The 13,034-nt window shown below is 53.7% G+C and overlaps 4 annotated features.

The window, feature by feature from the left end:
• Window positions 3,276–3,476: a silencer, noted in NCBI's record as "peak3795 fragment used in MPRA reporter construct". NCBI's record gives its function as "represses an SCP1 promoter by STARR-seq MPRAs in K562 erythroleukemia cells {active_cell/tissue: K562}" and the evidence as "EXISTENCE:reporter gene assay evidence [ECO:0000049][PMID:32103011]".
• Window positions 6,750–7,250: an enhancer, noted in NCBI's record as "H3K4me1 hESC enhancer chr2:98238522-98239022 (GRCh37/hg19 assembly coordinates)". NCBI's record gives its function as "activates a minimal SCP1, AML or CMV promoter by ChIP-STARR-seq in naive H9 embryonic stem cells {active_cell/tissue: H9 hESC(naive)}" and the evidence as "EXISTENCE:reporter gene assay evidence [ECO:0000049][PMID:30033119]".
• Window positions 9,764–10,645: an enhancer, noted in NCBI's record as "H3K4me1 hESC enhancer chr2:98235127-98236008 (GRCh37/hg19 assembly coordinates)". NCBI's record gives its function as "activates a minimal SCP1, AML or CMV promoter by ChIP-STARR-seq in naive H9 embryonic stem cells {active_cell/tissue: H9 hESC(naive)}" and the evidence as "EXISTENCE:reporter gene assay evidence [ECO:0000049][PMID:30033119]".
• Window positions 12,116–12,633: an enhancer, noted in NCBI's record as "H3K27ac-H3K4me1 hESC enhancer chr2:98233139-98233656 (GRCh37/hg19 assembly coordinates)". NCBI's record gives its function as "activates a minimal SCP1, AML or CMV promoter by ChIP-STARR-seq in naive H9 embryonic stem cells {active_cell/tissue: H9 hESC(naive)}" and the evidence as "EXISTENCE:reporter gene assay evidence [ECO:0000049][PMID:30033119]".

Below are 13,034 nucleotides of genomic sequence, written 5' to 3'. Positions count from 1 at the left end.
TTCTGCTCTGTGGAACACACTGCCAAGAAAATAAGAAGACATTAAATGTCAATAAACCTTTTTAAAAGGAAATAAATACATGCACTAAACAATACATTTTTTTAAAATTGAGATGGAGTCTCTCTCTGTAGCCCAGGATGGAGTGCAGTGGCACAATCTCAGCTCACTGCAACCTCTGCCTCCCAGGTTTAAGGGATTCTCCTGCCTCAGCCTCCCGAATAGTTGGGACTACAGGTATGTGCCACCACACCCGGCTCATTTTTTATTTTTTTTGTATTTTTAGTAGAGACAGGGTTTTGCCATGTTGGCCAGGCTGTTCTCGAACTCCTGACCTCAGGTGATCTGCCCGCCTCAGCCTCCCAAAGTGCTGAAATTACAGGGGTAAGCCACCATGTCCAGCCAACAATGAATTCTTTTAAGGACTGTTATCTAAAATGTATAAAGAACTCTTTAAACTCAACAATAAGCAAATGAATAACCCAATTAAAAATGGGCAAAAGACCAGAATAGACAACTCACCAATGAAGACATACAAATGGCAAAGAAGCATATGAAAAGATGCTCAACATCATATGCTATTAGGGAACTGCAAGTTAAAACAATGAGATAGCACTACACACCTATCAAAATGGCCCAGATCCAAACCCTTACAACCCCAAATGCTGGTGATGATGTGGAGCAACAGGAACTCTCATTCACTGTTGGTGGGAATGCAAAGTGGTGCAGACACTTTAGAAGAAACTGGAAAACTAAGTATGCTCTTACCATGTAATCCAGCAACTGCAAGTCCATTCTGTTTATCCAAATGGGTTGAAAATGTACATCCACACAAAGAACTGCACATGGATGTTTTTAGCAGCTTTATTCCGAATTTCCAAAACTTGTAAGCTATCAAGATGTCTTTCAGTAAGTGAGTGGACAAACTGTGGTACATCCAGACAATGGAATATTATTCAGCACTAAAAAGAAATGAGCTTTTAAGCCATGAAAAGACAAGAAGGAAACTTAAATGCATATTATTCAATTGGAGGCCACCCCCAATGCCTTCACCAGCTCCCAAATGCCTCTCACCTCTGCACCTTCGAGCCTTTGCCCAGGTGCCCCCTCTGCCTGGATGTCCTTCCCTTCTTCTCTGCCCAGCACACTCCCACCAAAGCGGCCCCCCAAGGCAGGATGCAGCTCATGGTCCCAGTGGTGGACGGCTGTTCCGAGCTTACCTAAGGGTTTCCCTTGCTGCCTGCAGCCTCCTCTTGGGGAAGGAGCATGTCTTGTCTCTCCTGTCCACCCACTTCCCAGTGCATGGTTCCTGGCATTCAGTGGGGTCGGGACATACGTTCTGAGCACTTCAGAGGGCTGGCGAGGCACAGTGTCCCTGAATGTCCTCAGAGTCTGGGTCTGGCCCAGCCACATTCTTGAGGATGGGAAGCTGGAGAGGTAGAAATGTCTGGACTGAAAGCCCAGCTGGTCACATAGAAGCTGTTGTACTGGACACTTCACCTAATGCCTCCAAGCCTCACCTTAACATGGGAGCTCAGCTCCTCCTCTGCAGCCTGTGGTAGTGAGCAGGTGAGGTCGTGTATGTGAAGACTTAGAGCAGATGTGCCTCGGACATAGGACATGCTCAACTTCTTCTTCCTGTTAATCCTCCCTTTACACCTGAGGGACCCTGGCCAGGCCAACCAGCGTCCTCTGTTTTCTCATGGTCAATGGGAATAAGAGCCCTACCACTGCCCAGCCCCTAAGGGGTGGTGAGGGTGCAGATGGTTCATGATGACAGTTGCTGGGAGCTACAGGAGAAGTGAGGAGGGCCGGTGGGCCTGTGGCAACTTCCCACAGCTCACAGGAGGGCTGGAGCTGACCTGGCCGCTCCGCTCTGCTGCAGAAACAACAGCTGCTGCTCCCTGGGCTCAGGGCTGTGTCTGCAGTAGCCTGGGGACACCAGAGCCCCAACCCAGTGGAGCCCCTGCCCTGCCGTTCTGTGTTCTCCAGTGCGCCCCAAGCTGGTGTCCATCTCTCTTGCTTTAGGGATATAAAACAGTTTCATTTCCAAAATAAAGAGAACAAAGCCTCCTTGTGGCAACAATTATGCAGTCATAAGAGGAGACTTAATAGGCCCTCATTAAGAGTTGCACTCAGGGAATGACAGCTCTGACAGCTGCCAGTACTGACTGTCGTAGAGTCATGGCGCTGTTCCCTGAGGGAGCACCACCCCTTCCCCTGAGTTTGAACACCCCTAGGAGTATGGCACAGGTCACCTGTGGGGTGAAGATGTATGTGTGTTTGCAAGTGGGTGGGTGGCTGGGACCTGGAAGATTTGGCTGAGCCAAAGATGGGCTGGGTTTGCCCATCTTAGGGTTGTAGGCCTGGAGCTCAATTGCTCTGTGATGGAGGAAGGTGACTCTGGAGCTCTCCCAGGCACGGGAAGGGGCAGAGGGGCAGAGGGACAGAGAGAAGAAAGGGACGTGGGAAAGACAACACACAACCCCTTCCATGAGGCTCGCTGGATCTTCAGTCGTGTGGTTGGAACTCCGGGAGATGTCCCCTGAGCCCGGGAAGCAGGATAGGTCAGGAGAAGGCCCTAAGGAAAGGCTTTGGATACTACCTGTGGCCACACTCTCCTCCAGGCCAAGGAGAGACAGACAGAGAGGGGCTCTGGGCAGCCAGTGGCACTGAACTCACAGGGTCGAGGTCTGGGGCAATATCCGGGCTCCACTCTCATTCCGTAATGGCAACATAATAGAGTGCAGAGTGATGGCTAAAGAGTGGGTAGCTTCCCTGGTTCAAGGCCAGCCTCTGGCAGCTGCCACTTTTTTTTCAGTTGAGCAGTGGCCAACCTGCACAACAGGCCCCTTACCACATGCCAACACTGGGTACAGCCTGTGTTGTAGGGGTCTTGGGAACTTGAATGTTGAATGCACCCCTTTGCTCTATCTCTCGCTGGGGACCCCTCACTGGGCTGTCTTGGTTTGTGCTCCGTTCACTGGGCCAGCTCCTCCCTGTGCCCCCAGCCCAGCCTTGGCACTGCATCTGGAACTCAGATGGGGGATGGTAGCAGCTTTCAGGAAACTGCCCAGTGACAGGACTGGGCATCGTGCAGGGGGTGACTCATGTTCTAGTCTGTAGTTTTGACGGAATGCTTCTAAAAGTTTCCTGAGAAAAGGTGCAATAGAAGAAAGGATGTCTGCAAATGTCTTTAATGCATCCCCACGTTTAGCCGAATGAGTGGCTGCCGTATTCAACGAGGTCTGAGCTGCAGACAGCTGTCTCCAGAGGGGCTGGTGGGTTGACCCCTTTGGCTTCCAGTTGCCAGGCAGCTCTCCTGACTTCATGGATACCCCCCTCCCCGCCACTCACCACCTCTGCTGCAACATCCTGTCACTCAGGAACTCCAGCAACCCAACCCCATCTCTACTAAAAACAAAAAATTAGCTGGGTGTGGTGGCAGACGCCTGTAATCCCAGCTGCTTGGGAGGCTGAGTCAGCAGAATTGCCTGAACCTTGGAGGTGGAGGTTGCAGTGAGGTGAGATCGCGCCACTGCACTCTGGCCTGGGCAACAGCCTAAAACTCTATCTCAAAAAAGAAACTCCAGCAATCCTCACAAACAAACAAGATAACAGGCAAAGAACATGCTAACAAACGGCAGCTTTGATGACCAGGAAAGCGCATGGAGCTCCCATTCCAGGAATGTATTTTAACTGGATGTGCCTCCTTGGGAAAAAAAGAACAAAAAAGAAACTCCTAGTAAGAAAAAAAGCCCCGCCCTGCTTCTGACAGACTCAGCTCTGGCAGCAGCTGCTCCTGTTTGGAAAGACCTACATCCCAGGAATATAAATTTTTTATTGTGATTTTATTTTATTTGTTGATGCAGAGGGTTTTTATTTTATCTTTTGAACCAGTAGCAGCAGCGGGAGAGGGAGAAATGGGGGAGCTGCAAAGCTGGCTGGGGGTGTTCTCCCTCCTCTGCTGGGGGTGGAGATGACACCTGAGCCCCCTTCGCTGGGCTTGCTGGCCACACAGGCTCCTGTCTCTGCCATGGTGTGGGGACTTGTGGTATTGGGAGGGAAAGAAGAAGTAAAGAGGGGGTGGGGGCAGAGGAGCAGGGGTGTCCAGGGGTGTTTGGCCCAGAGCAAACCCCTGGTGCTCCCACATTCCGGGTCCGGGTCATCTGCTAGGACAGGCACAGTGGGAGGGGTGTGCCCCCTGCCCATCCTTGGGGAGGTTCGAATGGACTAGATCCAGTCCAACCCCCCAGCTGCAGTGGAGGAAGCAGAGGCCAAGTCCCTGCGGAAGCTGCCCAGGACCCGCTGAGTGGCGACCTCGGGGGCAGTCACCCTACATGCACCCAGGACTGAGGGTATGTGTGCTTCTCCTGTGCTGCCTGGGAAATAACAGGAAAGACCACGGGCGTCCACCCCCAGGGAAAAGGGTGAAGAAAGTGCGGGGCCCTGGCTGGGTCTCTCTGGGTGTGCAAGGAGAAGCCGAGGCGTCACAGGAACCCAGGAGGTGGGGAGGATGCAGAGCAGGACCTATTATTCCTATCATTAAGTATCGATTCTTATTTATGAGAAAACAACAACTATCTGGTGCCTGAATATGAATATGAATTTTAAAAGATCCAGAGGAGTACCCGAGAAATTGTTCATGATTATTAGGGAAAGGGAAACATTTTATCTTAGACATTTGGTATGGCTTGAAGTGTATTTTTTTGGAGGGTGACATGTATTATTTTTATTAAACGGTAGTAGCTGAAGTGGTTACCTCTAGAAACAGATATTTGTTTTGTGGGAGGGTTAGGTGGTTAAGAGACATATTAACACTGCCTGTAATACTTCAGGGTTTTTTTTTCTAACAAAAAGAGATGTTCTTGTACAATTAAAAAAAGTCTTTAAACTGCAATAATAAAGAAAAACAAAGCAACTCCTGGCTGCAGCCTGTGGCCTTTTTTCCCCTGCACACCCTGCCTGGGAGCTCAGGTCTTAGGAAGGCAAGCCCCTGCCTGCAGCTTGCCTTCCTAAAAGGCCTCACTGACTTCTCAGCATCTGTGTGCTGTGGCCAGGGCAGCTCAGCACCTGGATCCCAGCTCCATGGGGCTCCAGAAAAGTTCAGAGGGCACAGCGCTTACTCAATCCTGCTGTCCGCTCTCAGAGGAGCAGGGTGGGAGCCCAGGAGCCTGGCCCAGCTCCCCAGCAATCCATGATGCTCCTGGCACCGCTCCCGGCCCCCAAGACAGACAAAGCACCTTCCTAGTCTCCAAAGTCCTCTAATCCCCGGTCGTTTTTTGCTTTCCAAAGGAGCCCTGGTCGACCCTGAGCCAGCAGTCCACACCTTTGCCCAGGGTGAGCTCTGACTCAGCTCTCTTGCTCCTTCCCCCTCACCCATGGCCCCTCTGGTTCCTGAGGCTGAGGGACATGGGCTTGTGGGGGGAGGGTTTTTGGGGGAGGCGTCCCAGACCCATTCCCGGTGCCAAGCTCCCCTCCCTCTCCCCCCATTCCCCCATCCCCTCTGCTCCTCAGTGGCTGGCAGGTGGCATTGTTCAGCACCTGACAGCTCCCTCCACTCCCACAGGTCCTGCCTCCTGCACTGTTGTGTCAATTTGGACAGCTGTCATGCCAGCTCTGAAACACACCCAGTGTTTCCTACCCAATTCTGGAGGCCCCACTCTGCTCCAAGCAGGCTGGTGACCTTGGGTGTCCTTTTTCCTGTCTGGGCCAGGGATCCCACCTGGGTTGAAGAGAGCAGGGACAGTGTGGTGCAGCAGGAGCCTATTCCCATACTGTGCACTCGCTGAGAGCTTGTTTCCCCTGGGACATGAGAGATGCACCACCTTCCTGCCCAGCTGGGCAAGAACATCAGGAGAGCCAAGGGTTACAGGAGGCCTGGAGGAAGCAGTGTTTTCAGTAATGCAATATGCAGCATTGACCAGCACCTGCAGCATACCAGGTGCAATGCTAGGGGATAACAGATCACAGAGAAAGGGCTGCAGCACACAAGAGCTCACAGTGCAGCAGAGTGGCCAGCAGACAAGTGGCTGGAGAATGATGTGGGAAATTCCACAGTGAAGACATTTGAAGGCAGCAAGACAGGGCTTTGAGTTCTGCCTAGGGGAGCTCAGAAGCCTTTGTAGAGGTAGGGGAATTTGAGTTGGGCTTTGAAGGATGACTAGGAGTTCACCAATTTGAGGAGACTAGAGGGGCCTTGCAGTTAGCAGCCAAAGCAAAGAGAAAGCAACACATGGTTCACCCAGAGAGGCATCAAAGAGCAGTGGTGGAAAATGAGGCTGAAAAGACTCCCCAGATAGGGTTGAGCCTTTGTATTTGTGAGGGTGCTTTTGGCTGTCAGTAAACGAATTGTCCAATAAAGTGTATAAACATACATCATGTCTTACCGTGTGATATAGTTTGGATGGTCCCTCCAAATCTCATGTTGAGATGTAATCCTCTTGACTGCCAGAGCCTTGAATGTGAAGACACTTAGGCCACAGTGGGAGGGAGAACCATTAGGGCTCAGAGCCCAGGGTGTCTGGTTGAGAAGGAGGCACTGATGTCCTTGGTTGCTCCCAGCACCTCCCTTTGAGTCCTCACTCTGTTCCTAGGAAGCAGCAGCAGAGCTGTGTCTGAGCTGCAGCCCTTGAGGTTCAGGCTGAGGATGGATCAGCGATGCAGGCAGCAGGGCCAGAGCAACAGCCTCATAGATTCTGGCCTTTCCTGAGTCCCCAGGGAGAGGCCCCTGCACTGGCAGCACTTTGCAGCAGCCTGGAGGAGTAGAGCTGGCCTTGTGCTCTGTGGAGTGCCACGCGCAGGCCCTGAGCAGGTGTGCTGCACAGATGACCTCATCGAATCCTCAAAGTGACCACCTCCTAGAGTGGACACTATCACTACACCCACTTCACCGACGAGGCAGCTGAGGCCCCGTGAGGCTCCACACATGGCTGAAAAGTGCAAGCAGAGGGAAGAAAGCAGGACTTCTGCATGCGCCTGTCCCCACCCTATGCTGCCTGGGAGGCTGGGGCTGTGCGGTGGGGGCTCCCTCCACCTCTGAGACCCCTTCCCTTGCCAGCAAGTGCTCTGAGCTTCCCACAGACAGATAGGAGAGAGAAATCAACTTCCATGGTATTCAGCTGCTGTTACTCACAGCCGAAATGGATCCCAATAGACCTGAGCCCCTTACCCTTTGGAGTCCTGTAAGGTATGGCCAAGTGCTGTTACCACACCATCTCCCACAGGACCTGCCAAAACCCACAGGATTCCCTGGTCATCCTCATTGAGCAGGTAAGAGGACCGAGGCTGGGCAGTGTTCAGGTGGCCTGCCCAGAGCCAGATGCCATGGGGTGGTTCAGCCATGGGGCCCTCTGCCCTCATTCAGCCTGTCTCCTTAAATGCTTGAGTGGCAGCATTTGTAAACTGCTTATTTCTGAGTTCTCTGCAGACATGCTGAAGCAGAATCTCTAGTGACAGGCCCAAGAACATGCATTTTTCCGCAGTCCTGAGTGAGGCTGAGGAGCAGGGCTTGCCTGAGGCAGAGAGGAGAAGTGAGCTTTCCAAGGCCACGCAGCCAGCTAGGGGCAGAGCTGAGGTCAGAGCCTAGATCAGACCAGATCCCAGGCCATGTTGGCTGGAGCTGAAGTGGGCATTGACTCCTGGGGCCCCCAGAGCTAGAGGTGGAGGGGCATGAAAGCCTAGGGGCGGTGGCTGGGCTTGGAGGGCTGCCCAGTTGGTGCATTCCAGGCCAGAGCCTGCTCATCCTGCCATGGGGCAGGGATTGCAAGGCCAACAGAGCACTTGCTGCTCCTCTGGGCAGCTGGGACAGCTTTGCCACACAGCACACACTCTTCCTCCTGCTGGGAATATCCAAACCCCACTCAGGAAGGTTCCTGCTCTTCAGAGGCTCCTAGTCTTGGCTTCTACTCTGGCCACTGGCTCCGCTCCTGGGCTCTAGGCTTCTGCTGCTGCTCCCAGGGACTGCCGGCACAGGAGGCTCTTAGTAGTTAGGGGGGAAAACACTAATTTGGGTGAAGAATACCCAGGCCGGACACCCGGCCCTGCTCTTTCCTTGCCAGGTGGCTTTGGACAAGTCATGCCCTTTCCTGGACTTGGGGCTGTACCTCTGGATGGCCTGGGATTTGGACTGGATCATCCAGAGTTGAAGATGAGAGCTGGTGAGCTCTACTCCCCTTCTCCAGGTGAAGAATCTATTCATTCATTCAGTCATTTGACATTCAACAAATATGTATTCAACACTGACTTTCTGCCAACTTCTAGGCACTAGGTTACCACAGGGAACAAACCTAGAAGTAATCCTTCCCCCTTTAGAGCTGATGTTCCAGGAGACCCATGTGCACGGCGTGACATCATTAAGCATTCTGAGATTAGATGGATGGATGTGTGGATGGATGAACAGATGAATGGATGGATGGATGAATGGATGGATAGATGGGTGGATGGATGGATGGATAGATGGGTGGATGGATGGATAGATGGGTGGATGGATGGATGGATAGATGGGTGGATGGATGGATGGATAGATGTTTGGATGGGTGGATAGATGGATAGACAGACGAATGAATGGATGGATGGATGGTAGATGGATAGATGAATGAATGGATGGAAGAATGGACAGATAGGTGGGTGGATGCATAGATGGGTAGACAGATGAATGGATGGATGGATGAATGAATGGATGGTAGATGGATAGATGGATGGACAGATGAATGAATGGATGGAGGAATGAGTAAATGGGTGGATGGATGCATGGATGGATAGACAGAAGAATGGATGGATTGGTGGGTAGATGGATGGATGGATAGATGGACAGACAGATGACTGAATGGATGGATGGTAGATAGATAGGTGGATGGACAGATGAATGGATGGATGGATGGATGGGTAGATAGGTGGATAGACGGACAGACAGATGAACCAATGGATGGATGGGTAATGAGGAGGGGAAGAAGCCTGGGCCCCTGCTCTCCCCCTGCTCTCCTCCCTGTGGCCGCATTTCCATCTCAGGACAGAGCTGACTGGCTGGCTGGGTCTCCTGGATAGAAAGTGAAGGGGGCAGTGGCCTGACTGAGGCAGGGCTTGGGATGACAGTAGTTGGGCTCTGGGGAGACTTTGGTGATGGATGGGCTCGATGTCAGGGAAGGTGGCCGGGGAGGAGGTGGTAGGGGATGGGCTGAGTGTTATGGGCACAGGGGACACAGTTCAACCACGTGAGCCTGCCTCTCTTCTGCCTCTGTCTAGGTGGGAGACTCTCTTTGGGTTTGAAAACCCCAGTCTGAGATGTGCTGTTTCCCTTGTGCCCCACCAGGGCCCAGTGTGTAGCGTTCTGGGGACACCGGGTGTTGCTGAGAATGAATCAGGGAGCCATAATCAGGGGGCTCAGTGCAGGGCAGAGGTGAAAGGAGCACCGGAAGCAAGCAGGCCTGGGAGTGGGGCATTTATTTACTATTTGTTGGGGCCATCTTGGAGGGGGTGCCCAGCAGGCTGGGGTGGCCTGCCACAGCACTCTGTCCTCTCAGTAAGTCTGCAGCAAGAACCTGCTGGAAGCTGCAACATTCACAGCTGCAGGATGGGCAATTGGCTCTATGAGTCGGGCTCTGCTTCCATCTAAAGGCCTAGATGTGAGGGCAGAGGAGCACTCAGCCTGCCGAAGGTCTGCACAGCTGGGCGGCAGCGGGCGAGATTGGAATTCACTCACCATGCAGCTACTGGCTGCCTGGCTACTGCTGGGAAGCAAGCTGAGGGCAAAGACTGCCCCACAGGGGCAAGATCGGGGCCCACCACAGGAGGTCACCCCCCAGGCATGCAGGGCACAGAGCTGGGGGGAATGAGCTCCCTCCCCATGCGCCCCTCCCCAGCTGTCCCTGAGTCACTAGCGCCCTTCCCTTTCACTACCAGGGAGGCTCTGGAGCTGCTTCCTATCCCCCACTGTCCTGTGAGTCACCGCCCCACCCTCCAAGTCCCTCCCACATGGTGTGATCAGCATCCCTGCCTCTGCCCACGAAAGTGATTTCAAAAGGCAGAAGTGACGGGTGGTGGGTGGTTAGGCGGGCAGTGCCTCTCACCTCCCCATCCATCTCTCTTCTGTCAAGTGGGGCAGCAGCAGGGCCAAGAAGACTGAATTCAAAGCATCCTGGAAGGCCTCAGGTTGTCAAGGGCCCCAGGCAGCGCATGAGGCTTTGAGAGGGGCCCCTGCCTTGTGCCTGGGCAGGCTCCTTCCCTGCTCTGCACACTGTGTCTTGAGCAGGCTCTGGAACCCACCTTTCCACCATCAGAGTGATAGACGGGCTGGATGTCAGGAAGGTGGAGTGTGTTCCTCCAGGTCACAGCCCTGGGCCTCTATGACAGCCCCTTTGAGATGAAGAGACCTGGGTGAGGAGTCTGCAGCGGGGGCGGTGGGGGCATCTTCAGTGCTCTGGCATGGGTTCATTCCTCAGGATGCTCCTGCAGCCACCCCAAGCTGAGGACAAGGCCCAGATCCACAGTGGCCTGGGAAGTGCTCCCAGCAGAGTGAGCAGACCTGGGCTTCGGTGCTGTCTGCCCTCTGTCCTGCTGCAAGGCTAATCACCTTCTGGTTCTGGGCCTTGAATCCCTTTTACAGCATGGGGGCTGGATGCTCTTTGAGCTTCCTCCTGGTTTCGATCCTGGAAACTGACACCTACTTGTTTGCAGTTGTGTGACTTGGTCAAATCATGTAACCTCTTGAGCCTCAATTTCATTCTGTGTGAATGAAACAGTGAAAGCCCTGAAGATTAGATTTTTGATAGAAGAATTGTAACAGCAGTGACCCCATAGCCCTTTACCATTTGCAAGGTGCTTCAGACAAAATATCTCACTGGTCCCTCCCAACAATTCTGCCACAAAAGCTGGTATTACTTTCATCCCCAGCTTACAGTTTGAGGAACGAAGGCCCAGCTATGGGGGCAGGTGCAGAGGTGGGCCTCGCTTCCAGGTCTCAGTCTCTGGATGAAGGGCAAGATCCCTGCAGCTAAGGACGAGGGAGTGGTGGCACAGAACATCCGGCCTGCTGGTCTTTCTTTCCCAGCCTGGGGCATCTCTGTGAAGGCCGATGAGTGGCAGCCCCTCCCCAGGTGCTGGTGCCAGGCGGCGGGGAGCTGCTTCTGATAGCTGTGCAGACAATTGTCACTTCTCCATCGCTGCTAATAGCATGTTTAGCTTGCTGACTCCTCTGTTTGCCTGGTGCCTCCCACAGACCCAGAGCTTGGAGTTTCTTCATTGCCTTTGGTGGGGCAGGGTGGCAGAGAGGGATCTCTGCTCCCTGGCCCTGGCTGCAGCCAGCAGCTCCACCCAGGGCCCTGCACCTGGGAGGCGACTGCAATTCCATGCCTTAGCTCCCAGCACCCCAGGGAAGTCTGTCTGGGCTCTGGAACAGCAGAAACGGCCTCCTGCAAATCTCCTACCCGACACAGGACCAAGTGTGGGAAGGCTCTGGTCCAAGGGGCTTTCTCCAACTCTCTGGACCACAGGGAGCCGGCAGGATGGGGGCCAGTCCACCTTCAGATTACACCTTTACCTTTGACTCAGACCCCTTTGCCTCCCAGGCCACCATACGACATCTCCTGCTTGCAGATCTGGCCATGCTGGAGGCAAAATGGATCCCCAGCCCCTCAGTTGTGACCCTTCCTAGCTTGTTAGGTTAGTAGAAAACTGAGCTCACAGTCTCGGGGACTGCTCCTCCCCTGGTTCATGCACAAACCCCAAAGGTTCATGGGATTCCTAAAAGCAGCCTGACAAATTTCCCTCCTGTGGGGAGAAGACCCTGTGGTCTGGCAGGACCCACTGCCCTTGGCCAGGTGCCCCTCGCTTTGATCCTGGGTCTGGCTCCTGCCTTAGGAGCCTGCAGACCTCTGTGGGGCCACTCCCTGGTGACCCACCAGCCCAGGAAGGATGGACCCCGCAGTGGACAACACTCGGTTCTGTCCATCTCCCTGCCTTGGGGAAGTACTTGCCTGTGGTTTTAATTTACCTTTGACCCTATGGTGCACTTCTGGAATGTTCCCTCCACGAGGGCGTGGACTTGGTCCTGTTCATGGGGATCTCTCTGGCACCTGGAGCAGCTGTGTAGCCCAGACGGGGTGCTCAGTCATTGTCTGCTGCCTGAACAGATATGTGCAAGTTTGTCTTCTCACTGCTGTTAACATTATTGTATGAGTAATTTTACAAGTTTACCATTTTTCTTGTACGTATAATAAATATCCCACCTTATTGACCCACAGTTCCCCCTCCCACAACTTGCAAAGTATTTTGGCTGACTTGACTTGTTTACTATGATAAATAGTGTTGCTATAAACAGCTGTGCACATATAGCTATTTTTCCCTTTGCAATTATGTTTTTGGGAGGAATTCCAAACAGTGGGGTTAGCGGGTCAAAGGGCATGGTGTATTTATGGTCCTGGATGTGCTGGGACTGCCGAATTCTCAGCCCCCAGGCCACCCCTGTTTTCCCTGAGGTCTAGCTCTGGGTGAACACCCACAAAAGTGTCTGTCTGCCTGAGGCTACCCCGGCCTCTGTCTGGCTCCTGCGGTCGTGGAGCAGACCTCACGGTGCGGGAGCTGGAGGTGGCTGTGGGAGTTTGAGGAGGGGAAGAGGAGGCAGCTGTGGGAGTTGTGGAGATGGCTTCACGGAGCCAGGAGCCCTGTTCCGGGAGGGCAGTAGGACCCCCTCTTCTCCCAGAGCCCTGGCCTTCTCTTGGATGGCTCTCCTGTCCTGGAGCCATCCCACCCCCTGCAGCTAAGCTTCCACCCCCAGTCTCTGAGAGGGGGCAGTGCCCCCTGTAGGCAGGTGTGTTTGGGAGAAGGGAGGGGACCCAGTGCCTCAGCCTACTCCGGACTTTCTCCTGTGGGCCCTGATGTGGTGTCATGTGGGGGAGAAGTGCCGTGGAAGCTAGCTGCTGAGCAAAAGGTCTTTATCACTGCAGAAAATGTGCCTGAGATTTGCCCGCCTTCTGCCTCCATCCACTGGCTCTGCCCCGCCTCAGCTGCTGGAGCCCCCTTTCCCCACCATTAGCCCCAGA

The sequence above is a fragment of the Homo sapiens genome, chromosome 2, assembly GCF_000001405.40.
Source record: "Homo sapiens chromosome 2, GRCh38.p14 Primary Assembly".
Classification (NCBI taxonomy): Eukaryota; Metazoa; Chordata; class Mammalia; order Primates; family Hominidae; genus Homo; species Homo sapiens.
Note: the sequence above shows the minus strand (reverse complement) of the source record. Positions and strands in the feature narration are given on the sequence as shown.